At 64.3% G+C, this 25,581-nt stretch overlaps 1 protein-coding gene and 1 long non-coding RNA gene across 16 annotated transcripts in view, besides 5 other annotated features; one reads left to right on the plus strand and one right to left on the minus strand.

Annotated features, from left to right (window-relative positions):
* The window catches only part of CACNA1H (calcium voltage-gated channel subunit alpha1 H), a 68,663-nt gene that overhangs the window by 23,839 nt on the left and 19,243 nt on the right, over positions 1-25,581 (plus strand). For 13 of the 15 annotated variants that reach the window (XR_002957850.2, XM_047434836.1, XM_006720963.4 and 10 more), the window contains exons 3-9: positions 18,028-18,139; positions 18,488-18,621; positions 18,982-19,079; positions 21,671-21,830; positions 23,312-23,627; positions 23,772-23,864; positions 24,719-25,508. Coding sequence is in view for 14 of the 15 variants with exons in the window: in XM_047434836.1 (XP_047290792.1) it covers positions 18,028-18,139; positions 18,488-18,621; positions 18,982-19,079; positions 21,671-21,830; positions 23,312-23,627; positions 23,772-23,864; positions 24,719-25,508 (1,703 nt within the window). In the remaining variant the exon portion in view is untranslated. The other 2 variants (XM_017023819.2, XM_011522724.3) reach the window with 2 other exon arrangements.
* Positions 7,602-9,440: a meiotic recombination region, noted in NCBI's record as "meiotic double-strand break mapped by DNA meiotic recombinase 1 chromatin immunoprecipitation followed by single-stranded DNA enrichment and sequencing in the germ cells of some male individuals with the PRDM9 A/A, PRDM9 A/B and PRDM9 A/C genotypes". NCBI's record gives the evidence for it as "EXISTENCE:chromatin immunoprecipitation-seq evidence [ECO:0000229][PMID:25395542]".
* Positions 8,515-9,418: a repeat instability region, noted in NCBI's record as "repeat instability region; instability of the MS205 VNTR region has been observed". NCBI's record gives the evidence for it as "EXISTENCE:polymerase chain reaction evidence [ECO:0000082][PMID:8923012]".
* Positions 8,634-9,243: a minisatellite, noted in NCBI's record as "MS205 VNTR, 49-54 nucleotide repeat".
* Positions 21,075-21,634: an enhancer, noted in NCBI's record as "H3K4me1 hESC enhancer chr16:1248019-1248578 (GRCh37/hg19 assembly coordinates)". NCBI's record gives its function as "activates a minimal SCP1, AML or CMV promoter by ChIP-STARR-seq in naive H9 embryonic stem cells {active_cell/tissue: H9 hESC(naive)}" and the evidence as "EXISTENCE:reporter gene assay evidence [ECO:0000049][PMID:30033119]".
* Positions 21,635-22,192: an enhancer, noted in NCBI's record as "H3K4me1 hESC enhancer chr16:1248579-1249136 (GRCh37/hg19 assembly coordinates)". NCBI's record gives its function as "activates a minimal SCP1, AML or CMV promoter by ChIP-STARR-seq in naive H9 embryonic stem cells {active_cell/tissue: H9 hESC(naive)}" and the evidence as "EXISTENCE:reporter gene assay evidence [ECO:0000049][PMID:30033119]".
* LOC124903623 (uncharacterized) lies at positions 23,862-24,767 on the minus strand. The gene is made up of 3 exons (XR_007064938.1): positions 24,700-24,767; positions 24,388-24,445; positions 23,862-24,277 (listed from the first exon to the last, which is right to left on the minus strand). It is a non-coding gene; the product is annotated as an uncharacterized LOC124903623 (long non-coding RNA).

The raw sequence follows: 25,581 nt of genomic DNA on the forward strand, positions 1-25,581 counted from the left end.
GGGTTTGGCTTAGGTGGGGGCAGAGTCCCCAGGCTGGGAGGAGGCGCTGGAAAAGGCCTGGGCAGCCTCACTCCCTCCCCCCAGGAGCTTCCCCCAGGCCCTCCGCACCTTCTCTGAACCCTACACTGAACCCCAAAGGTCACTGACTTCACAGGCTGCCACCTTCAGGTGTCTGTCCTGGGCGGCCCTTTTTGTCATTCCACTGACATTTACAAAGGACATCTCGGACTCTCGGACCCTTGGATTTCTAAGTGACACAGGCTGGATGGAGTTTGACTCCACCAGGGGCTGCTGTCCCCCAGGCCTCTCCCAGGGCCGATCCCCTCCAGGGCCGGGTCCCCTGCTGCCCGGGCCTCAGCCCCGGCTCTGACATTTACACACTGCAGCCGCCGGCACCCTCGGAGACAGCCTGAAGTTCAGGGCCGAGGGCCCTCCTCATGGTACGGTGCGGGGACGGCGTCTGACCGAGGCCCACCCTGCCGTCGCCCCGGAGTCCCCCAAGCTGGCACAGCTAGCGGCTCACGGTCACACGTCTGTCATAGGTTTGAGGGCTGAATTCTGACCGGGGCAGAGAGTGGAACGAGCTCCAAGTGAGAAATGGGGTGTTGGGGTGGAAGGGAAGGGGCCCCCCAGGACAGGCTTGGGAGGGGGCGTCCTAGTGTGCTTGGGCTGTGACAGAAATTCTGAGGACGTGGTGGCCGGGGACAGAGGGAGTGTGTTTCTCGGTTCTGGAGGCTGGACGTCCCAGGGAAGGGCTGGGCAGGATGGGGCTCCACGGGGGCCACTTCTGGGTGCAGACGCCTGCTTCTGCCTGTGTCCTCACCTGGTGGGAGGTGGAGGGGTCTCTCGGGGTCCTTGTTACAAGGGCATTAACCCCATTCCTGAGGGCTCCGCCGCTCCTGACCTCACCTCATCCCAGTCACCTCCCAAAGGCCCCACTGGGTCTCAGCGTCTGAACTCCATGGGGACACAAACTCTCCGTCCCCAGCAGGTGCCCGGGCTGCGGGCACCGCCCTTTCTCCCTGGGACCCCCGGGGTCTCTCCCGCCCCCTCTCCCTGAGGCCTCCCCCACTCCCTCTCCCTGGGGACCCCATGGTCCCTCCCCCACCCCGGAACCCCCCCCCCCATGGACTCTCCTGCCCCCTCTCCCTGGGGCCTCCCCCGCCCCCTCTCCCTGGGGACCCCATGGTCACTCCCCCACCCCGGAAACCGCCCCCCCATGGACTCTCCCGCCCCCTCTCCATGGGGCACCTCATGGTCCCTCCCGGCTCTGCCTGGGATCCCCCAACGGGCTCTCCTGCCCCGGCTCCTTGGATCCCTCCATGGTCCCTCCCGCCCCCTCTTTCTGGACCCTCCCCCACGGCCTCCCCAGCCGCCTCATTTACGGGCTTCTTCTGGTGCCCCCATATTCATATCTCAGAGTCCTAACCCACCCCCGAGTCCCCATATTCATATCTCAGAGTCCTAACCCACCCCCCCAAGTGCCTCAGAATGTGACTGTATTTGGAGATAAGGGCCCTTTCGAAGGGGGTTAGGACTAGGTGAGGCCACAGGAGGACACAGATGCAGAGGGGTGACAGTGGCGTCTACAGGCCAAGGACAGCAGCCGCAGGAGGAGCCGGCCCTGCCCACAGCATGGTCTCGGACTCCAGCCTCCAGGCTGTGGGAGAGTGAGCGTCTGTTGCTTCAGCCGCCGCCATCCAGCAGACCAGCATCCAGCCCCAAAGGGGCCACACTGTCCCTCGGGTCCCTCCCTGACCCCTGGCCAAACCTGGCTCACCCCCGGCCAGGAGCTCCTGGGCAGGTTGGGCCCAGATGCCCCTGCCCCTGTCTCCTCCAAGCTCCAGAAGTCGGGGTTGGGGTGAAGAGATGTGGCGGAGTGGCCGGGGCAGGCAGGTGTGGCTGCCAGGGCAGAGGAAGGACCGAACGGTGGCATCTCCCCAGCAGGGTGGCCCCGCGCCCTTGCCAGCCCCGGAGGACCAGATGGTGGCATCTCCCCAGCAGGCTGGCCCCGTGCCCCTCCCAGCCCCACCATTTTCCTCGGGATAAACTGAGGCTCTGTGACCTCTGTCAGGTCACAGAGACCCTGTTGGGTGGTGAATGGGTGACCCGTGGACACCAGGCTGTGGCGGGTGTAGGGTTCAGCCCTCCCTGCACACTGTTACTCAGACCTGCCTGGGAAGCAAAACCACAGCAGAGCCACCCCTGGCTGGGCCTGGCCGTCGTCTCCCCAGGAGTGAGAGCTGTGCTTTTATCTGACGCGCCTCCCGGGACTGGTGGAAGGGGTGTGTGGCGGCCCTGTGGGTGGGGTTTGGCCTCAGGGGCTCCTGGGTAGGGTGAGTTGGGGGTCCCTGACCTCAGTCACCAGGCTGTGGTGGACGGAAACCCTGGCTGACCAGGCATCGGGGATTGGGGGCCCCCCCATGGACTCTCCTGCCCCCGCGAGGTTGGGGAGGTGGGAGAGCCGACCGAGCCGCTGCTGAGTGGCTGTTCCGTCCTCCTCATTTATTTATTGATGTGTGTGTGTGTCGTTGTTGTTGCTGGTGTGATCTCGGCTCACCCCAATCTCCGCCTCCCGGGTTCAAGCGATTCTCCTGCCTCAGCCTCCTGAATAGCTGGGATTACAGGCGCCCGCCACCATGCCTGGCTAATTTTTGTATTGTTAGTAGAGACGGGATTTTATCATGTTGGCCAGGCTGGTCTTGAACTCCTGACCTCAAGTGATCCACCCGCCTCAGCCTCCCAAAGTGTTGGGATGACAGGTGTGAGCCACCACGCCCGGCCTCTTTTTTTTTTTTTTTTTTTTTTGAGATGGAGTCTTGCTCTGTCGCCCAGGTTGGAGTGCAGTGGCGTGATCTCCGCTCACTGCAACCTCTGCCTCACGTGTTCAAGCGATTCTCCTGCCTCAGCCTCCCACGTAGCTGGGATTACAGGCATGTGCCACCACGCCCAGCTAATTGTTTTGTATTTTTAGTAGAGACGGGGTTTCACCATCTTGGCCAGGCTGGTGTTGAACTCCTGACCTCATGATCCACCTGCCTCGGCCTCCAAAAGTGCTGGGATAACAGGCGTGAGCCACCATGCCCGGCCCGGCCTTGTTTTTTAATATACATCTGGTTGCCGGGTGATACTGAGGGGGCCGGGCTCTGCAGGCACAGGGCTGAGGGGCGTCGTGTGGATGGACGGCCAGCCCGTTGGGTGCCCTGGCTGGGTCCCTGTCCCTGCACACCGGGTCAGCCGGCTCCTGGGTGCACAGGCAGGTGGTGTGCGTCCGCATTGCAGAACACGGGGCGTTGCAGGCCGGAGCTGGGTTTTCACACAGATTGAGACCAGGCGTCGCCCACAGAGCATAATGTGAGGCGAGAGGGACTCGGGCTGCTGTGGGCTGGGGAGGACGGTCCCATAGCTGGGGGCAGAGCAGGGCAGGCTGGGTGAGGAGGGGGCACCCCAGGTGTCTGAACCCCAGGTCTGTGGAGGCCCGAGGTCTGAAGGGAAATCCCCAGTGGTGGGACTGGAGGTGCCGTGGAGGGTGGGCCTGTGTCCTGGTGTCCCTGGCGTCCCCATACCCCCTCCGAGGCACAGCCACAGTCTCTGGGTCCTGAGCAGGGGCTGCAGTCACAGCCAGGCCGTGGGGGGGCCAGGGAGGAGGGGCTGCTCTCCATAGTGTGTCGGGTGGGGAGTGGCCCACCTGGCCTTGGCTTTCCCGGGGCAGGTAGGGAGGGGCCTGGGCAGGGCGGGGCAGGGAGGGATGAGGTGCAGACTGGGGAGAGTGCAGGGTGTGCAGCGGGGGCTGGGATGCCGCCGAATAGGGGCCTGTGGCTCCCACAGGGAGGCCCCTTAGGTGAAGAGGACCAGAGTGAGGTCAGCCCTGGTCCACAGCCACCCCGCCCTGGACTCCCCGGGCCAGCACCCGACCTGGCCGCCAGCGTGCTGAGGACAGACCTGCTGGGCCGCGTTGGCAGGGGCTCACCCCGTCTTCCCGCAGGAAAGCGCCTTGGCGGGACTGCTTCCGCCAGCTTCCCGGCCAGACCCAAGGGTGGAGCTCCAGGCCACGTTCCCATGGAGGGAGCGCCTGGTCCCCTGGGGTGGTCTCTAATTTGGGCCACGGCAGCTGTGCAGTGGCGCTCAGGCAGTTATTTCTGGCCTGGAGAATTCCAGCTCGGAGCAGGCCCCACAGGCCCGTCCCAGGGGCAGGCGGCCGTCTTCCCCAAGGTCCCCTCCTGGCTGGGTTTCTGCTGCCCACGCCTTTCCCTTCCAAGCCTGGGGGCCCGCAGCACCCTCATATGGGGACCAAGATGGGCAAGGGTGAGGCCAGAGGAGAGGAGCTCTCACCCGGCATGGCCGGCCCCTCCACCTCCCACTCCACTGCCAGGACAAAGCCAGCCTGACCAGGTGGCCCTGACCGGGGACAGCTGCCGAGCCCCCGGCAACGGTGGGAGCTGAGCCAGCGCTTTGACGCCCGCGTCGGCCAGGAGAGTCTGGGGGTCTGCTCCAGTTCCGGCAGAACATCCTGGGTGGTCGTGCCCCCGAGGTCCTTGCCGGTGTGGCTGCACGCTGCCACCAAGTGGCTGGCAGGGCCTCAAGCTTCCCGCAGGCACGGAGAGGAGGGCTGGGATCAGGCACTTTTCCACTCAATTATGCCTTGAAAAGTTCCCAAATCAAGCTCTTTATTAGAGATAAATAGGTATATTAGGTCTCTTTCTAATTAGCATGGCTTTTAAAATTGTGCGCAGTTAGAGGGAGCTGTCCGCGTGTGCTCCAGCTCCGTGGTGGTGCTGCGAGCCAACCTCTCCTTTCATTCCTGGAGGTGGGGGACCCGCCCTCATCTCAGGCCTGAAGAGGGCTGTGTGTGAGTTCTCCACTTGTGTGTGGGGTGAGCCCGGCCCATGCACACAGCTACACACACATCACACACCCACACCCGGACACGCGCCTCAGGTCCCCACACTGCCCTTACACACATGCGCCCCTCACACATGCATGTCCCCTTTGCACACACGCCCCCTCGCACACGCATGCCCCCTCGCACACGCATGCACACAGGCTCACTCTGCTGCCTGTCCCTGGCTGCTGTGTGCTTCCGGCCCTCCCTGTCTCCCCACACAGATGGACACAACGCTCCCCAGGGTGAGAAGTGGCCGCCCAGGTGAGCCTGGTGTTTCCCCGGGCTGTGGCAGGGGCAGGAGCAGGGTCCGTGCCTGAGACAGCGCAGGTGATGTGATTGTTTTGGCCCCTCCGGTGGGTGGCAGGTGGGAGGCTCTGCGGGGTGGAGGAGGCGGGCCTCAGCCCACCTGGGTGCAGCCTGGCGGACATAGAGGCGGAGGCCAGGGCCGCTCTCTGTGGGGCCAGAGTCTCCCGAGGCCATTGCTCAGGGAGGAGCTCTGTTGAGATGGAATGTTCCGGCAGCCGGGAGTGAGCCGTCCACTCATGCATCAGTGATTTCAATCCCCCAGGTGGTGGCCTGTGGTGGGTGTGGGCTCCCCGCACCCCTGCGCTGGGGGCGGTGCTCTCCCACGGGCAGCCCAGCCCCCGTGCCCTCCTGTGACCCGCGGCGCCGGCTGGAGACAAACACTCCATGTTTGGCTGCTGCCCGGGCTCCCCACCCCCAACTGCCCGTGTGAGTCACGCAAGTCCAGGCGGCTGGCTCCGGCCACGTTCCCCTGGCCAGGCCCCTGGGGAGAGGGGCTCCCACATCGGGGGCCTGGCTGGGGTGAAAGCTCTGGGCAGGCTGCACATTGAGACTCAGAGCAGACTGGGGGTTGGCTGGGAGAGGCCAGGGTTGAGGACCAGGACAGAGGCCAGGAGAGCTCGCAGCCCCCCGACGAGGCTGTCAGTCACTGTGGCGGGGACCCCCACCCTGGCCCTCCTCTGACGTTGCCCAGACCCTCTGTTCCCTGCCTGGGATGGGGTGCAGGTGACCTCTCTGGAGCTGAGTCCTGAGTCCTGGGCCCAACCTGAGAGCTCCCCAGGTCAGGAGTCGGCCACAGGGTCCATGGGCACTGCAGGTTCTCAGGAGGGCAAGCCCACCTGTCCCATCTCTGGACAACTGGGTTTCCAGGGCTGGTACAGGTACCTGTGAAGGAGGTCTGGGCCCCACCCACCACCCCCGCCCCCACCCTCTGTGACCCGACACCCCCAGCAGCAGGGACTGGGGTGGGACACGGTGGGGCCCCAGGTGGCGGTTTCCAGGAAGTTCTGTGTCAGGCATGGAGCCCTGGAACCCGGTACCCTCCACCCCCGTGCGGCTGTGGGAATCCTGGGGCTGCCCTCGGGATCTGGCCTCTGGGACCCCTGACGGGTTCTATTGCGTCTGATGGCGCCGCGTTCCCCCAGTTTTCCCCCAGCACAGAGGGGTTCTTAGGACCTCACCCCTTCCTGAGTTAAAACCCTGCGGTGGCTTCTCCCGAGGAAGGAGACGGGCGTGGGGGCCGCCCTCAGCGTGGAGCCGGGAATCCCTCCTGGCCCCTCCCCCCAGCCCTGACCGGGCTTCCTCCTCCCTTGTCTCCATGGCAGCGGCCTCCGGGGAAGGAAGAGAAACCTCCTTCAGTCAGCGCATCCCCGGCAACCCTGATCCTGGATCGTGTGGCTGCCTTGCCCTCCCCCTTCCCACCCAGTTCCCTCCCGCTAAGAGGCCCCGCTGGAGAACAGGACACGTGCCTGTCGTGGCATTGGGGTCGGGGGTCCGGGGGAGGCGCCGCACTCAGGGCAGGCTCTGGAGCTCCCCGGGCACCGTCCCGTCCTGCAGGTTTGATGTACTTTCTGTCATCTACCCTGTGAGGCTGGGGGGCGGCCCTGGGGGGAGCGTGCAAGAGCACATGCGTATACACGGGTGAGCACGTGACCTGGCGTGTTGCTCCCCCAGTGGGGTCTGTCCCGTCCCACCTGCTGGGAGACTCCAAAGTCTGCAAACATCTGGCTCCAGAATTTCGCCACTGCAGAGGGAGACTGAATTAATTCCCTCCTGGATCGGTTAATTAACGACAGGTGCCCTGGAGCCGTGTCCATGCCGCCTGGGGAAGGTGCGTCTGCCTCGGCAGCTGTGGCTGCCCCGGTGCTTCATCGGATGCCAGGGACAGAAGAGTCAAGGCCAGCCGGGCTGTGCCTGGCCCATCAGGCCTAGGTGGAGCTGGTAGGGGAGATGGGACACCAGCCCATTGCACAGGGTGTAGGCGGGACTGCTCTAGACCCCAGGGCATCACTCCTGCCCACAGGGGGCTTCCGGTGCTTCAGGAATGGTCAGGCCCAGCCTGCCGCATGCATGGGGCCCCTCCCCGAGCCCTGAGACCAGGGAGCAGACCCTGGCCAAAGCTTCCCCTGCAGCAAGCACTGAGTCCTTGAAAGCTTTGGGCCTTACTGCCCGAGGCAGAGGCCAGAGGCCGGACTGTGGAGGCCGGCAAGCGTGGGACCGAGGCTCAGGGGTGAATGGGGCCAGCAGCCCCAGAGGACTCCAGGCGGCTTGGCCTGGGCACCTGCACACAGCAGCTGTCCTGTCTTTGAGAGGCATCCGTGGGGAGGGCTCATCACCTGCCGGCCTGGGCTGCTCGTTTCCCGGCCCTCACCCTCATCCTCTGTGAGCCTGGGAGGAGGCACGGATGCCGCATCAGCCTCCAGGCATCCCTGCCCTCTCGTAGGCATCCAGGCCCCCTGGTGGAAGGCAGGTCTCAAGGGGCTGGAGGGTGCCAGGAGTTGTCACGTGGCCGGGTGGGTCTGGGGCATGTGAGGGCCTTCTGCTCAGCGAGAGTGGAGGCCACGTGGCAGGAGGAGGAGACACCCCCACCAACCTATGCCTGCCCATGTGCCGGGTCTCAATTCCTGGTCCAAAGGGCGCCTTCAGTGGCGACTGCAGACAGGTGCGGGGCTCCAGCGAAGGGAAGCTGCCATTTAAAGGCAAAGCTGGGAACGCAGGCTGTGGTGATGACTGAAGTGAGGTTCACGTACCATGGGATTAGCCATTTTTTTTTTACTTGTTTATGTGACGACCAGCGGATTTTAAAGCGCACGGGTTAGCGACCTTCGTGTTGTTGAACCATCACCTCTGCCTAGTTCTGGAATGTTTCCCTCACTCCAGAAGGAAACCGCATCCCCATCAGCCCTCGCTGCCCAGCCCTGGTGGTCTCTACCCCGCTTTGTCTCTGGGTTTGCCTGTGCGGGACTTTCCGTGTGACATGTGGTCCTTCTGTGCCCAGTTCTTCCCAGCATCATGTTCCCGGGTTCACCTGTGTTGTGGCGTGTGGAGCTTTCTTCCTTTTCATGGCTGAGTAATATTCCAGCGTGTGACCAGACCACGTTCCGTTTGTTCACGGGTCTGTTGGTGAACACCAGGGCTGTTTCCATCACAGGCCATCGGGGTCAGTGCCGCTGTGGACACGTGTGGGCCCGTCTGTCGTGAGTGCCCGTTTCCTTTGTCCCTGGTGTAGGCAGGATTGGCGTTCATAGCCTCACCCACCGGTTATCCGGAGCTTAGACGTGCCCGGGTGGCAGCTGGACTCCTGGACGGTGTCTGTGGGTCCTGCCAGCGGCAGCCAGACTCCCACATGGACGCTGCCATCTGCAGAGTCCCCCCCCCCGCCGAGTCTGCTTTTCTGGGGAACCCTGGAGATGCTCAGAAAGCCTAGTGGGGCACGGGGGTCCATGGCGGGTGAGTAGACGGTCAGCGTGCGTAGGGGCCGGAGGCGGGGTACGTGGGGGGCGGGCGAGTAGACGGTCGGCATGCATAGGGGCCGGAGGCGGGGTGTGTACGGGGCGGGTGAGTAGACGGTCGGCGTGCGTAGGGGCCGGAGGCGGGGTGTGTACGTGGGCAGGTGAGTAGACGGTCGGCGTGCGTAGGGGCCGGAGGCGGGGTGTGTATGGGGCGGGTGAGTAGACGGTCGGCGTGCGTAGGGGCCGGAGGCGGGGCTGTGTACGGGGCGGGTGAGTAGACGGCGTAGGGGCCGGAGGCGGGGTGTGTACGGGGCGGGTGAGTAGACGGCGTAGGGGCCGGAGGCGGGGTGTGTACGGGGCGGGTGAGTAGACGGCGTGCGTAGGGGCCGGAGGCGGGGTGTGTACGGGGCAGGTGAGTAGACGGCGTGCGTAGGGGCCGGAGGCGGGGTGTGTACGGGGCGGGTGAGTAGACGGCGTAGGGGCCGGAGGCGGGGTGTGTACGGGGCAGGTGAGTAGACGGCGTGCGTAGGGGCCGGAGGCGGGGTGTGTACGGGGCGGGTGACTAGACGGTCGGCGTGCGTAGGGGCCGGAGGCGGGGTGTGTGCAGGGCCAGGGTGTACCGTGCTGGTCCTCCCAGGGCTGCTTGGGGAGAGCCTGTTTCCTTAGTGGTGTTTTGAATAAGAATGCGCGGCTCCCTCGAGGTGTCCCAGTGGGGCTGTTCAGAAGCTGGGCCCAGGGAGCCCTGAAGGCAGGGGTCCAGCCTGCCGTGACCGCACAGGCCCAGATTCCTGGACGTTTCGCTTTCGTAATTGCACACGCAGGGCCTGGATTCGCCGTGCAGAAAGCCGGACGATGCCGCGGCGTGGGGTGAACGTCAAAGGGTCACTGTGGACTCTGCCCACGTCCTGAGTGCCCTCGTCTTGTCCCTCTCCACGGCGTTCTCATCCTCCGGCGATTCCCTGGGAACGTCTCTGTACCTCTGCACACGTGCCCACACACATGCCCCTCGAGATGGCCTGCACTGTGGCTTCTGTCGTGAATGTGGTCACGTGTCCTCCGTGACTCGCTCCTCCTGCCCCGTGTGCCCTGGACCTGGCTCGGTCCCGATGCCCGTGGCACCACCGCCTCCTCAACGGGTGGCCACGTAATGCTTCCTGGCCGGTGAATGTGCCACGGCAGTGGAGATATTCTGCCCTTCTAGCTCTTCTGTATACAAGCAGTGCGCCCTGGTTCTCAGGGCCGTGACCACCACCATGACCGGCAGACTTCAGGGCGGTCCGTCCCACTCCCGTGGCCTCGAGGGTCCTTTGGAGCTGCCGCGGTTCTGAGTGGGGGTGGACACGGACACAGGGCTGGTTCCCGGGGATCTCCTGTACCACCCACTGACTCCCAGGGTCTGCGGCTGGCCCGGCCCCTCCTGGGTCTCTTGATGTGGGACCAAAGCTGTTGCTTCCTCTGCGGCAGAGGCGATGGAGTCCCTCAGAGCCCGCGACCGTCCCCTCCGCACTGCGGGCTGATAGCGCCTGTGGGAATGGGCTTCCCCGGTGAATACACATAGGTCGTCTTCTTGAGCAAATTGGAAAAGTAAGGTTGAGCGTTCCTGAGAATGAGGGGCCGGGAGGGGAGGAGGCGGCCAGCGCCGCGTGGGGCCGTGGGCAGAGCGGACAGGGAGGGAGCGGCCTCAGCCTTGGCACCCTCTACCCAGGGCAGGGAGGGGTTTGCCCAGCCAGGGGTGGGTACAGAGAGGGGAGCACGTGGCTAAGAGTCCTGGTTGCCTGTGACCTCAGCTGCAGTCTGTGCCCTGCAAGGCATGGGGTCCTGAGTGGGGGGCTGTGGCCCACCTTGCTCTGGGCTTCTCCTTCCTGCTGTGGGTGCCTTTCCCGCCCACACCCCTGCCCCTGGCTCAGGCCGCTTGTGCCCAGCTGTTGCAGATTTGGCCTAATGGGGCTCAGCTGGCTGAGCAGATTGCTCTAGGGGACAGCGGGTGGGGCAGGAACGGCCCAGCCTCCCGATCCTCCCAGCTGCAGAGCTCTGCCACCCCGGCACTGATGTCAGGATGCAGCCGAGCAGGGAGCCCTGCTGGGATCCCTGGAGGCCACAGCCCTGCTTGGGGGCCACTCTGACCATAGAGGAGGAGCCAGGCAGCAGCCGCACCTGGAGACGTCCATCCCTTCGCTGGGCTAGCGCTGCTACAGTCCCCTCCCTGGTGGTCTGAGGAGCTGAGGCTGGCCTGTGGCTTTGATGCCTTAACTATCTCTTGAGGAGGGGCACACAGCCCCGCCTCCGTCCCTCTGTAGAAACATCTGTCCTGACCTTCCTTCGGCAAACGTGGAGGTCTTGGTGTGGTGAGAACGTGTCCTCCAGGGCCAGCAGGAGCCAGGCCGAGCCGTGTCAGTCAGGAGAGTAGATGGAGGGGCTTGTTTTGCAGGAAGGTCTGCATAAAACCTGTCAGCGCCAGAAAGATGAAATAGCCCTTTTGTACAGATGGGGAAGCTGAGGCTTAGAAAGGGGGAGGCACAGGTGGAGGTAGAATTGGGGTCAGGCTCTTGCCCCATGGCCCTGGCCTGAGGATTAGTCACGGGGCAGGGTCGGGGAGGCCCTGGCCCCAGGATACGTGAGCCAGCGGGTCTGGGCGGTCCTGGGAGCTGATGTTACCTGGGATGTTAGCTGATGTTTCGGGTTGGGGTTGTCCAGGACCACCCTTTGGGCCACGCTGGTCCCACAGCACACGGGCTTCTGAGGAACCCCTGTCCCTACCCAGGACCCTGGAGACCGCTGGCTCTGGGGAGAGGGGTCCCACAGCACCTCAGGGCTCAGTCGGCACTGTTTGGGGGTCTGGCAGCCCCGACACTGGCTGAGCCGCCCTGAGACTGGCTCCTGGCCCCAAGAATCCCAGGTCTCCAGCATCTTCGGCGCAGAGATAGCAGCTGCCAGGGTTCCCGCCACTCGCAGACACTCCCCCTCACCCAGCCGCGGGAATGCAGGCCTTGCTGCCCCCCACACAACAGTCAGTGGCTCTGGGGCTGCCCACGCCCGCGCCCAGGGGCCGGGAGAAAACGGCGCCTTCAGAGCTATGCGCTTTCAAGCTGGGAAGAGCAGTTTGGGAGTCTTTTTCCTCCTCGACTACCCCCAGATGAGAAAACGGGGGTCAGTGGAGCAGCTCCACTGAAGCTCTGTGTTTCCGGCCAGGAGGCCGCTTCCTCGCCCCCTCCTGGATGTGTCCCCCCACACCTAACCCCGGCCCTCCCAGCCCTGGTACATCCAGGACAGGCCCAGGCGAGGCTGCTGATTCAGCACCATGGACAGCAGCCGCTGCAGCACTGCCCGCCCTGCGTCCACACCTCCTGGCCCGCCAGGGGCTGGCATCTGCGGTGCACTGGAGCTGGGCCCCTTGGAGGGCCCCCCCAGGTCCTGAGAGCTGAGGGGCTTCTGTGGACCTTGGTGTGAGCCACCATGGCCACAGGCGGTGCCCATGTGGGAAGGGGAGCGCTTACTGCCGCAGAAAGGAGGCTGGGGGGCTGCCTTTGTTCCAGGGTCCCGAGGGAAGTGGCGGTGTGCAACAGGAAGCCTGTAGGGGTGAGAAAAGCTGTTCTCCTCCCGGAGACTGAGGAGCTGGTGTCCCTGAAGCGTCCTGGGCGGGACTGGTTTTCTTCATGGGTGCCAGCTGGGGAGGCCCAGCCCCTGGCAGGGCTTCAGGAGTAGGAAGGGGGCTTAGCACCTGCCCAGCCCCTCAGAAGTGCACAGGCTTGGAGATGTGAGGAAGGGGAGGTGGCCAGGCTGTGCTGGACCTGGCAGGTGCCCTGAAGAGTGTCCTTTTTTTTTTTTTTTTTTTTTTTTTTTTTTTTTTTTTGATATGGGGTCTTGCTCCGTCACCCAGCCTGGAGTGCAGTGGCACGATCGTGGCTCACTGTAGCTTCCACCTCCTGGGGTCAAGCGATCCTCCCACTTCAGCCTCCCCGAGTAGCTGCCACCGCACCCCAAAATTTAATTTTTTTGTTAAATATTTGTTAAATATTTTGTAGCAATGGGGTCTCACTGTGTTGCCCAGGCTGGTCTCAGACTCCTGGGTTCCAAATGATCCTCCTGCCTCAGCCTCCCAAAGTGCTGGGATTATGGGTGTGAACCACCGGGCCCAGCCTGAGAGCACTGATTATAGAGTGTGGGGCTGAGGGACAGGATGGGTACTGTGCCTGAGGAGTATTTCAACAGACAGGGCCCCACCACCGAGGGGGTCTTCAGCCCTGTTCCCCTGTTCAGGCCTCTCTCTGGGGGGTTTTCATCGTTACGAGCCCCTGGCTCGTGAGCCCAGTCCAGTGGGGGCTGCCTGGGGAACATGTCATCCAGGCCAGACTCCAGGGGCTGGAGAAGGACAATGTGGTCCCCACAACCTTGGTCTGTCAGAAAAGAGGAGAATCACTGAGGTCCTGGGGCTTGGTCCAGGGAGATGAAGGAGGGAGGGTGAGTGGGTGCATTGCTGCTGGTTGGGCCTCAGGGTCTGGTGGAGGCTCCCTGCCTGAGGGAGACCCCGTAGCCAAGACCACCTCACTGCGCCACTGCCCGGCCCTTCCCTGGCTGGGTTCCCTGACCGTTCTGCCGCCCTGCAGCCAGCAGGCCCCCTCCCAGGGCTGTTCCCGGCTACGTTGGCCTGCTTCTCCGACCCGCAGTGGAAATTGATTCTAATTTATAGAAGTTGATTTGAAATCTAAAGGAATTTTTAATTAAAACCCAGAAAATCCATCTGTATGATTAAGCCTCCAGAAGTCACCAGGCTCCGTGCGACACAGCCGGCAGACACTGCCTGTCCTCAGCTGCCCACAGAAGTGTGACACATGAGGGCCAGCCTGCTCAGCCCAGAGCTGCCCGAGCCCCTGCTGGCCTGTGCGGGATGTGGGACCTCGGCTGACTGCTCCCCTCTCTAGGCAGAGCCCCAGGGGGGCACTGGGACCTGGTACATCTGGCAGTCCCTCTCCAGGGCAGGGAGGGCTGGTGGCTGGGGTGTGACCCGGTTGGGAGGCGCGCAATACGCCTGCCTGTCACGTCCTCTGTCGTGAGAGGCCTCCTTGGGGCCCCCCAGACCCTGCTATACCACCGTCCCCTCCAGAGCTGCCCCACAGGCACAGGGGTGGGGTCCTTGCCATTGGAGGAGCTCTCTGGGATTGTGGGGCTAATTTTGGGTGGGTGCTGGGGGAAGGGGAGGCAGAGGATCTACGATGGGTAGGGGCCCTGCAGACCCAAGAGCTGGGACCCGTCAGGCTGGCCTGGCTGTGTGGCCTCAGGCACACTCGGGGTCTCTCTGACCCAGCAGGCTGGCCTGGCTGTGTGGCCTCAGGCACACTCGGGGTTTCGCTGACCCAGCATGCTGGCCTGGTTGTGTGGCCTCAGGCACACTCGGGGTTTCGGTGACCCAGCAGGCTGCCCTGGCTGTGTGGCCTCAGGCACACTCGGGGTCTCTGACCCAGCAGGCTGGCCTGGCTGTGTGGCCTCAGGCACACTCGGGGTCTCTCTGACTCAGCAGGCTGGCCTGGCTGTGTGGCCTCAGGCACACTCGGGGTCTCTCTGACTCAGCAGGCTGGCCTGGCTGTGTGGCCTCAGGCACACTCGGGGTCTCTCTTACTCAGCAGGCTGGCCTGGCTGTGTGGCCTCAGGCACACTCGGGGTCTCTGACCCAGCAGGCTGGCCTGGCTGTGTGGCCTCAGGCACACTCGGGGTCTCTCTTACTCAGCAGGCTGGCCTGGCTGTGTGGCCTCCGGCACACTCGGGGTCTCTGACCCAGCAGGCTGGCCTGGCTGTGTGGCCTCAGGCACACTCGGGGTTTCGGTGACCCAGCAGGCTGGCCTGGCTGTGTGGCCTCAGGCACACTCAGGGTTTTGGTGACCCAGCAGGCTGGCCTGGCTGTGTGGCCTCAGGCACACTTGGGGTCTCTGACCCAGTAGGCTGGCCTGGCTGTGTGGCCTCAGGCACACTCGGGGTCTCTGACCCAGCAGGCTGGCCTGGCTGTGTGGCCTCAGGCACACTCGGGGTTTCGGTGACCCAGCAGGCTGGCCTGGTTGTGTGGCCTCAGGCACACTCAGGGTTTTGGTGACCCAGCAGGCTGGCCTGGCTGTGTGGCCTCAGGCACACTCGGGGTCTCTGACCCAGTAGGCTGGCCTGGCTGTGTGGCCTCAGGCACACTCGGGGTCTCTGACCCAGCAGGCTGGCCTGGCTGTGTGGCCTCAGGCACACTCGGGGTTTCGGTGACCCAGCAGGCTGGCCTGGTTGTGTGGCCTCAGGCACACTCAGGGTTTTGGTGACCCAGCAGGCTGGCCTGGCTGTGTGACCTCAGGCACACTCGGGGTCTCTGCGAGCCGTCACCTGTGCAGCACCGCAGGTCCGGGAGATTTGGGGTTCCATTGTCGCCAGGCTTAGCTCGGGAGGCCGTCTGCAGCTGGCGTGCCTGCAGGCCCAACCTTGCCCCTCTATGGTCTTCTGCTGTGTGTGTGATTTTGGCGGAGGGGGATGCACCTGGATGGGAGGGGCTCACTGGAGCCACACCCCTGCTTGGAAAAGACAGCACCCCATCCCCCACTAAACCAGACGGTCCGAGAGGTCGGGGAGGGGCACCCAGGCCCCCTCCTGGCTTCCCTCGCTGCCAGTCACAAAGGCTTGGGGTGGGTCTCAGTGGCATGGCAGAGGGGGCAAAGGTGTCCAGGTAGGACCCTGGCCTGGGGACCCCTAGTCAGCTGTCTTTGAGGAGTTGCTAGGCACTGGGTGCCACCCACCCCTGCCAGCCCCTCTGCCGTGGGCAGCTTTCATGGTGACTGGCACTGATGGGCCCTGGGCTCTGACACCATCCACTCCACTCTGCTGGCTGGACAGTCTTAGAGATGGCTGGTCAGGGGTGCTGGCCCCTTCCCTTCTGTCCCCATTGGGCCCTCCGCCTCAGGGTCTGGGCCGGGTCCAGAAGTCAGCATTCCCCTCAGTGCCAGGAAGGCCATGCCGTAGCTTTAGCTCAAAGTCCTGAGCTGGCTAGGGTGGCAGGAACTGCCAGGGTCAGGCAAGTGGCTGGGGGCCAGCTGGGGTACAGGGAGGGTGTGAAAGGCCTTGTGTCCAGGTAGCCCCCTAGCCTAGGGCACCCTCTGCTCCAGCCTGGACATTTCTGGGGGGTCTCCGGGGTGATCTGAGAGCAAACATGGGGCAGGCCTGGGAGAAATCGGGCAATGGCTGGAGACATCTGGAGGCGGGTCTCAGCCCTCAGTCCTGGAGTCCAGGGGTGGCTGGAAATTGCCTGCTTTGGTAGTGGAATGTGTGTGTGCTGGTTGGGAGCCGGCCCAACTTGAAGGAGAGTGTGGAGAGAGGAGACAGAAAGGCGGTCCGAGGCACCCACAGGACAAGCAGTCCCACCACCCCCCATTGGGTAGATGGGTAAACTGAGGCCTGGGATGCCCTGTGCCCAGGGAGAGGCAGTGCCACCTACAAGACCCCTGGCTCAGCCAGGCTGGGGTAGAGTGCCGTGGGGGCTCAGGTCAGGGAGCACCGTTCCCCACACCTGCCTGCTGTGTCCTGTTTGGGCCGGGTGTCTTTGAGCTCCTCCCCGCCAGCCTGTTCCGTTTACCCAAGAAAACCCCTCCCCTCGGGAAATGATGGCCCTCAGAGATGCACAAAGACAGTCCCCAGCCACCCCCGCAGAAAGGTGCTATTTGCGGCAGTTAGGGGACAAAGGTGCCCGAGGCTGGGGGCGGAGCCGCCATCCACCATCGCTCCCTTGCACTAGTGCCGGGTCAGGAGGCTGGGAGAGGCCAAGGGGCCTGGCACGGCTTCCACAGCAGGGCCTCGGCTCCTGCCCCCACCACCTTGACCAAGGCACGCAAACCCCACCCCCACCTCGTCCAGCAAGGACTGTGCTCTGAGGCTTGCCGTGAAGGCGCTCACACACTCTGGCCGCTGGGGTCGCAGTGGGTGCGTCATCGGTAGGCGGCAGTGCGTGCTGTGGCCTTGCCCACCTATGGGACAGCGCGTGGCTGTGCCAGCATGCCAGCTGCCTTGGCGGGAGGCTGATTTCGGCTTTCTTGCAGCAGTGTTACAGCAGAGGCGCCTGTTACCGCTGAACCCATTAAGTGTAATTACCGCACTCTTGGTGGGAATATGTAATTACATTGGTGGCCTGGAGCCGTGGCACTGGCATCAAATGCTGACCTGCTAGGAGGCTGGGCCCTGGCTTGGTGGGAGGGAGGGTTCCAGGATGAGCTGCTGGGGTCCCTGGGGGAGGGGCTCCAGGCTGGAGTGACAGGTGGGGGCAGGGAAGGCCCTCGTCACCAAGCCTGTTCCCCTCCTACCGTGGCAGCTGCCCTTCCTGTGATCCCTGAGAGTTTGAGACACTCAGACCCTGACCCCAGTGCTGCACGCAGCACCCAGGACCTCCGCTGTAGTGAGCGTGGCCCGTGTTGGGCAGGGGGCGCTGCTGCCACCATCATCCGGGTCCCAAGCAGGCCTGCCAGGGGTGAGGGGGAGCCGTGGGCGCTGAGGCCTGTGGTCTGCGCCAGGTGGGTGCTGGGAAGGGCGGCCCCCGAGAGTCAAGCACAGGCCCAAGTCCAGAGCCAGGGGTGGGGGCGGCCACCGGGCTGCCCCTGAATCAGCTGTGAGAGGATGCCCAGCTCTGTCTCCTCCTCGGTTCCCACGTGTTGGTGACGGCAGGGACTGTCAGAGCTGGTGCCTGACTTCCCAAGGCTGTTCGCTGACAAGTTGGTGCTTTCCAAATGCCGGCTTCTACCTTAAGGAAGGTCCCTCCTGGGTCCACAGTCAGCTGACGGATTGCCTCTCCCTCCTTCCTCTGGTTCCCTGGTCAGGGTGGGGCCGCGCAGCCCTGGGACAGGGGCCCTGGAAAGTCTGCCCCGAGTTGTGCCACCGTCCAGGCCTGGAGGGTGGGACGGGGAGTCCTGTCCGGTGGGTTGCATGGCGGTGCCCCGACATTCCCCCTGCCCTGGGGCCCTCCCAGTTGCACAGGGTGCCCTGCCTACAGCCCCCCAGCGCGGGAGCCCTATGCAACCTGGGCCCCATGTGGGCAGCTAGGCCCTGGGAGTCTGAGTGGCCCTCACTGGGGCCTCACTACCGATGCGGCCAGCCCACCGAGGGCTCCTGCACCCCGCTTTCCTGATGAGCCAACGCCGAGGGCCAGGGGGCCGGGCCTGGGACCCTCACGGAGCAGAGCCCGGCCAGGCGCAGGCCCCAGGCGCCACCTGGTGGCTGCTTTCAGGAGGGGCGGCCGTCGGTCCCGAGTCCCCCACCCCATCCTGGACACCCCCACGCGCGCACACCCGTGGCGGGGCTCCGGCTGACCGGGTGGGCATTTGGAGGGCCCCATGGGAGCGGGTCCCGGGCCGCGCCGGTGTGCTCCTTAACCCGCGGCGACACATGGTTCGAGCACGTGAGCATGCTGGTAATCATGCTCAACTGCGTGACCCTGGGCATGTTCCGGCCCTGTGAGGACGTTGAGTGCGGCTCCGAGCGCTGCAACATCCTGGAGGTGAGGGGCGTGGGTCGGGGTGGGGAAGGAGCGTGGGTCGCTACGAGGTTTATGGTTCAAGGCGGAGTGGGGCGGGGGCGGGGCAAGGTTCAAGGTGGGGCGTGGAGTGGGTCAGGGTCGGGGATCAGGGCGAGGTTCACGGCGGGGCGCGAGGTGGGGCTGGGGGTGGGGCAGGGCGAGAGGCGAGGTTCAAGGCGAGGCAGGGCTCAGTTCCTGGGGCTCAGGGCGGGGCAGGGGCGGGGCGAGGGGTGTGGCAAGACTGGGGGCCGGGCTCTTGCGGGGCTGGGGTTGGGGGTTGTGGGCTGAGCTGAGCTGTTCCACGGGCCCTCCTGATGCCTCCTCCCGCAGGCCTTTGACGCCTTCATTTTCGCCTTTTTTGCGGTGGAGATGGTCATCAAGATGGTGGCCTTGGGGCTGTTCGGGCAGAAGTGTTACCTGGGTGACACGTGGAACAGGCTGGATTTCTTCATCGTCGTGGCGGGGTAGGCCCCGCCTGGGAGAGGCCACAGCGCTGGCGAAGGGGCCCCGCCCACCCCACAGGGATCCCTGTGTCCCACCTGTAAAGAAAAATGGGAGGTGTGTTCTAGAGGGATCCAGGTAGAGCCAGGGACCCTGTCTGGGACTCCGGAGACCCTCCCTCCTGGGCACAGGTGAGGGAGGTGGCCTCCTGATGTGACCAAGCGTTGTGCTCCTGCTACCTCGGGGCCCTTCCTGGCCAGTACAAGGTCCTCCGGGTGCCGGGCTGGCCGGTTCTATGCCTGCCCACCCTACTTTGCACCCCAGCCCCACCCTGGACCACCTGGGCTCCTTGTTGAGCTGCTCCCCCTCGGCCCCGCCCCCAGCATGATGGAGTACTCGTTGGACGGACACAACGTGAGCCTCTCGGCTATCAGGACCGTGCGGGTGCTGCGGCCCCTCCGCGCCATCAACCGCGTGCCTAGTAAGTGACCGGCCCCGACTGGGCTTGAGATCAACAGGCTTGCGTGTCCGCCAGCCCTGCAGAGCTCTCAAAAGGGCCCCCAGGAGCACAGGACTGGGAAATGAAGGTTACCAGGCACTCCGGCCCCAGCCCAGACCCCAGCAGTGGGGTGGCCCCTGCCGCTATCCGTGGGCCTTGCATGTCAGGGGAGAATCAAGCTGCGGTGTGGTGGGCAGTCAGCATTCACAGGGTACCTGGCTCCCACACAGCCGAGTGACAGGGGCCACTCCGAACCTCCGGTTCCTTCTCTGCATGGCATCTGGGGCAAGGCTGGAGGCCGAGCAGATCCCTGGTGGCTTTGCTGTCTGGCGCATCCTGGTGTGGCTCGTGGTGGAGACACTCTTGTGGGTGTGGCTCAGCTCACCTGGGGGCTCTGTGAAGCCCCGCCTTCACACCCACACAAGTGAGGGGAGAGCCTGACACCTGTCCTGAGGACACCTCGCTCTCCCCACCCGCCACTGCTTCTGGCCCCTACTCTCCTGCCAGGATCCCCACCTAAGGAAAGGGGAAGTTGGCTGGCCAGGGCTGGGCCTCCGTGTCCCCTGCTGAGCAGCTGATTTTCTAGAAGGAAGGCTGGAAATCCTTCAGGATTTGGCCAGCAGGTGTGAGGAGGGGGCCTGGTGGAGAGGAGCTGCTGTGTGTCTGCTGTGCGCTGGGTGTGAGGGGAGGCGGAGGAAGAGCTTCCAGGAAGTCATATGCCTGCTTGTTTGGGAAACATCCTGTCAAATCCGGGCCACCCACCTGCATCAGGGGATGGGGTGGGATCGTTCTTTAAGCACTCAGGGCTACATTCAACTGCTCTGGTTCCTGGGGGTCGGCGCGGCCCCCACGAGGCCGTACCAGGCGCGAGTGCATACTGCGTGTAGATGTGGCCCCGTGTGTGCACGTGCGGGTGTAACACAGCCTTTCTGGCTGCCTGACCTGGGTCCTGGTGGCCTTGGCACTCAGGGCTTGACCTGCAGCAACCCCCCAAAGTCACAGACCCCCAAGGCTAGGCACTCCTTCCCATGGGGCCTCTGGCTTCCCGAAGGGCAGGTGGGTCATCCTCGTGCCGCTGGTCCCTGAGCCTGCCTTCCACCTGCCTGCCTTGGCTCTACTGTGTGGCTCAGATAGGGCTTGAATACTGTGTGACTCTGAGCAACTAGCTGAGCCTGAACCTCAGTTTCTCCTGGAATAGTGCAGTACAGGAGTAACCATGACCCCAAGGGTGGCTGAGCGTGCGGTGAGGGGACGCGTGTGTGGCTCTTGGCCCTTTGCCCGGCACCCACTGTACGTTCAGTCTGCACGCCGGCCTGGCCCCACCTGTTGAAGCGTGAAGCAACCCAGCACACACAGCCCCTTCCTTCCATGGATGTTTACTTTTCAGGTTAAATTGCCAGAGTGGCCCTAATTGTCGCCAGCAGCCTGGCCTCCTGGGGATCTGCTCCTGTCTCTAGGAGAGAACTAGGGAACTCTTCCAGACTGGATAATACGCTTCTCATAATGAGGACACGCTCAGGGCTGCATCCTGTTCTGTTGGCTAGGGGTCCACTCTGACCTCTGGGTCATCTGTGATCTTTGAGGCGGTTGCGGTCTGGCCAGGGCAGTGCTCACTGATTGTCTGCTCCGGTCGGCTCTTTTGACACTTCAGTGCTCCTCCTGGCTCTGACTCACCCTTGTGACCTGAGGGGCCCGTTTTGCCATTGATACCCCTGGGTGCTGGGTGAGAACTCAGCGTCCCCAGGTTCCTGGCCCAGGGCTTTACCTGCTGCCTTAGCCTGGCCCTTGATTAAATTTGAGGGAAAGGACGTCTTGGGGGAGCAGGCCCAGGATGGAGCGAGGGGCGCGTGGGGCTTGGCTGACCCACTTGCTGGATTAATCTGGAGTTCACGTAGCCCATAGCACCCAGGACCGATGGCTTCAGTGCTACCTCCTGAAAAGCCGCTGCCGGTCCTCCCCACCGCCTCCAGCAGCCTCTCTCTGAGATGGGGCTCTGTTCTGGCAGGATTCTCACTGGGAATCAGACAAAGTTTTCAGGATCCCAGACCTGCTGCAGAGACCCCCAGGAGGCAGCCCACCACCTGAGGTTCTGGGGCTCCCAAGGCTCCTGCTGCCTTGGTGGCAACTTCAGGGTGTCGCCAGACAAGCCTCGAGGGCCACTGGGCTCCGCCTGGTCATCCCGAGCCCGAGATGCCACGTGGTCAGACCTGCCGCAGCCAGTTCCCTGCCTCGGCCAGTCCCCTGCCTCCACTCCTGCCCCTCCACACCCCAGCCCTCCAAAAGCAGCAGACCTGCTGCCCTGGGATGGTTGGAGGTGGAGACCTGGCGCCCCGCTGGATGCACGTCAGACCCCAGGGTGTCAGTGTCCCTGGAGGCCGGTGGTGGTAGGAGGGGAGTCCCGATCACACTAGGGGTGCGGGAAAATCACCAGGGGGTGGCCCGAGTCAGTGTGCAGTGGGCGTGGACACCCACTGTGAACAGTGGACGGGGCTCGGGGGTCCCGGGAGGGGCTGCAGCCCCGAGGACACTCCTGCAGGGCTTAGCAGTGCCAATCCTGGCCCTGCTGCCCACAGGCATGCGGATCCTGGTCACTCTGCTGCTGGATACGCTGCCCATGCTCGGGAACGTCCTTCTGCTGTGCTTCTTCGTCTTCTTCATTTTCGGCATCGTTGGCGTCCAGCTCTGGGCTGGCCTCCTGCGGAACCGCTGCTTCCTGGACAGTGCCTTTGTCAGGTGCCCAGGCCCCACCCCCGTGAGGCCCCTGCCCAGATGGCCCTGCCCACCATGCAGATAACGCACCATGTGGCTCCACCGCCCCACGTGGCTCTGCCCACCGTGCAGTCACCCGCCCCGCCACTGCTGTCCCCGTCATGGCTCCGTCCACCATGCTGTCTCCCGCCCCCACCCCCCATCATGGCTCCGCCCAGCTGGCAGTCACCGCCCCACATGGCTCCGCCCACGGTGCAGTCGCTGCACATATGCCCCACCCCCCACCATGGCTCCGCCCACCGCGCAGTCGCTGCACATATGCCCCACCCCCCACCATGGCTCTGCCCACCACGCAGTCGCTGCACATATGCCCCACCCCCATCATGGCTCCGCCCACCGTGCGGTCGCTGCACATATGCCCCACCCCCATCATGGCTCCACCCACCGTGCGGTCGCTGCACATATGCCCCACCCCCATCATGGCTCCGCCCACCGTGCAGTCGCTGCACATATGCCCCACCCCCCACCATGGCTCCGCCCACCGCGCAGTCGCTGCACATATGCCCCACCCCCATCATGGCTCCGCCCACCGTGCGGTCGCTGCACATATGCCCCACCCCCATCATGGCTCCGCCCACGGTGCGGTCGCTGCACATATGCCCCACCCCCATCATGGCTCCGCCCACCGTGCGGTCGCTGCATATATGCCCCACCCCCATCATGGCTCCACCCACCGTGCGGTCATTGCACATATGTCCCACCCCCAGTGCTGCCACCTCTCAGCCCCCAAGACAGGTTAGTCCCAACACTTCATCCCCTCCCCACACCCCAGAGTCCGTCACACCTTACCCCAGGGTCTCCCCTCGGCCCTTGCTCTGCAGTCTCTCCTCAGCCCTCACCCCGGGGTCCCCTCAACCCTCACCCCGGGTTCTCCCCTCAATTCTCACCCCCGAGTCTCCCCTCAGCCTTCACCCCAGGGTCCCCTGAGCCCACACCCCGGGGTTCCCTGCCCTCAGCCCTCACCCCTGGATCCTCTCAGCCCTCACCCCAGGGCTGCCTCCTTTCCCTCACCCCAGGCTTCCCTCCCCTCGTCCCTTGCCCTTTGCCCCTCATCCGCTTCCAGGAGTTGCTGAGGTCTGAGCCTGGGTTTCTGGCTCTTGGGTCTCCCTCCCTGTTTGTCTGTGCTGTTCTTTGTTGATTTCTCTGTCCATCCCTGTTCTTTGTGTGTTTGTCTCTGTGGACTTGGGCTGAGGAGAGTGTGGTTTCTGCAGCACCACTGTGTTCTTGACCCTGGTCCTGGCTGTGTCCCCTGATCCGGGTCTTGACCCTCAGTCCTATCATGCCCCCTGACCCTAACCGTGCCTCCCTAACCATGATTAGTCCACTGGCCCTGACCCTGATCACGTCCCTGACCTTGATCACGTCCCTGATCACAATCGTGCCCCCGACTCTGACCGTCCCTGACCCTGATTGTACCTTTTGGCCCTGGCTGTGCCCATCCCCAGGAACAACAACCTGACCTTCCTGCGGCCGTACTACCAGACGGAGGAGGGCGAGGAGAACCCGTTCATCTGCTCCTCACGCCGAGACAACGGCATGCAGAAGTGCTCGCACATCCCCGGCCGCCGCGAGCTGCGCATGCCCTGCACCCTGGGCTGGGAGGCCTACACGCAGCCGCAGGCCGAGGGGGTGGGCGCTGCACGCAACGCCTGCATCAACTGGAACCAGTACTACAACGTGTGCCGCTCGGGTGACTCCAACCCCCACAACGGTGCCATCAACTTCGACAACATCGGCTACGCCTGGATTGCCATCTTCCAGGTGGGCGGCAAGATGGTGGGACGGGGACCCTGGGGCACGGCAGGGGAGCGGGTGCAGGACTCGCCCCCCCCAGCCCAGACCCCAGGGGCACGGGGAGGAGGAGGAGGGGTCGTGCGGGCCCAAGTCAAGCCACTGCCCCCCCAGGTGATCACGCTGGAAGGCTGGGTGGACATCATGTACTACGTCATGGACGCCCACTCATTCTACAACTTCATCTATTTCATCCTGCTCATCATCGTGAGTGTGGGCGGCAGTGTTCGCCATGATGGGCCCTGGTGTTAGCTGGCTGGGGGTGGGGTGGGGTACCTGGGTGGTCATAGGGGCTCCTGTCTGTCTTCCAGCTGAAGGGAGCACACAGGGGAGGGAGGCAGAGCTTGCGGGGGTGGGGAGGTGTGGCTGGGGACCCCAAGAGGCCATGGCATCACCTAGACAGGGTCCAGGCCTGTGGGTGCTGGCTCAGGGCTGAAGAGCCAGGAACACCCTGGGGAGTGCATAGCCTCCCAGCACCGCTTTCCACGGGCGTGTGTGGCCCCAGGTGTGCTCCTTAGCTGGTCCTCTCATAGGCCCCAGTGGGTCCTGGCAGAGTTGGGTTAATCAGGCCGCAGACGTCTGTGGGGTCCTAGGTATACCTAGAGCCACCCTGCGGGGACCTAGTAGGTAACAGAAGCAGACAGACGTCCCCAGCTTGTTCTGAGAGAGCAAGCGAAGCGAACGATTAGAGACTTGCTGCACGCTGGTCCATGCTAAGGAGGAAACGCACCTGGGGTGCTGGGGAGGGGAGAGTGGCCACCGTTGAGAGGGTCATCTCAAGGCCAGATCTGCAGGTAAAGGAGGGGCCGAGCCACATGGAGAAGCAGGAAAGAGGGTTCCAGGTCTTTTGTCCAGATAGGCACAAAGCAGCTACTGTATGCCGTCTGCTCCAGACGTGGGGGCTCAGCACTGAACACCGCAGCAGCCTGCCCATAGCAGGGCACCTCGCCCACTGTGCCTGTGACGCGGCCCCCACTCGAACAGGCAGCGCACAGTAGGGCTCAGTGGCGAATCAGAGACTCGCTCACTCACTGCCACTTACCCGCCCGCCCCCGTCACAGGTGGGCTCCTTCTTCATGATCAACCTGTGCCTGGTGGTGATTGCCACGCAGTTCTCGGAGACGAAGCAGCGGGAGAGTCAGCTGATGCGGGAGCAGCGGGCACGCCACCTGTCCAACGACAGCACGCTGGCCAGCTTCTCCGAGCCTGGCAGCTGCTACGAAGAGCTGCTGAAGTACGTGGGCCACATATTCCGCAAGGTCAAGCGGCGCAGCTTGCGCCTCTACGCCCGCTGGCAGAGCCGCTGGCGCAAGAAGGTGGACCCCAGTGCTGTGCAAGGCCAGGGTCCCGGGCACCGCCAGCGCCGGGCAGGCAGGCACACAGCCTCGGTGCACCACCTGGTCTACCACCACCATCACCACCACCACCACCACTACCATTTCAGCCATGGCAGCCCCCGCAGGCCCGGCCCCGAGCCAGGCGCCTGCGACACCAGGCTGGTCCGAGCTGGCGCGCCCCCCTCGCCACCTTCCCCAGGCCGCGGACCCCCCGACGCAGAGTCTGTGCACAGCATCTACCATGCCGACTGCCACATAGAGGGGCCGCAGGAGAGGGCCCGGGTGGCACATGCCGCAGCCACTGCCGCTGCCAGCCTCAGACTGGCCACAGGGCTGGGCACCATGAACTACCCCACGATCCTGCCCTCAGGGGTGGGCAGCGGCAAAGGCAGCACCAGCCCCGGACCCAAGGGGAAGTGGGCCGGTGGACCGCCAGGCACCGGGGGGCACGGCCCGTTGAGCTTGAACAGCCCTGATCCCTACGAGAAGATCCCGCATGTGGTCGGGGAGCATGGTGAGGACCCAGCCCCACCCCACGGAGGAGGCGGTGGGACCTAGGCAGGGCGGGCAGGGTCTCCGGTGTGTCA

This window comes from Homo sapiens, chromosome 16, assembly GCF_000001405.40.
Source record: "Homo sapiens chromosome 16, GRCh38.p14 Primary Assembly".
NCBI classification, from domain to species: domain Eukaryota; kingdom Metazoa; phylum Chordata; class Mammalia; order Primates; family Hominidae; genus Homo; species Homo sapiens.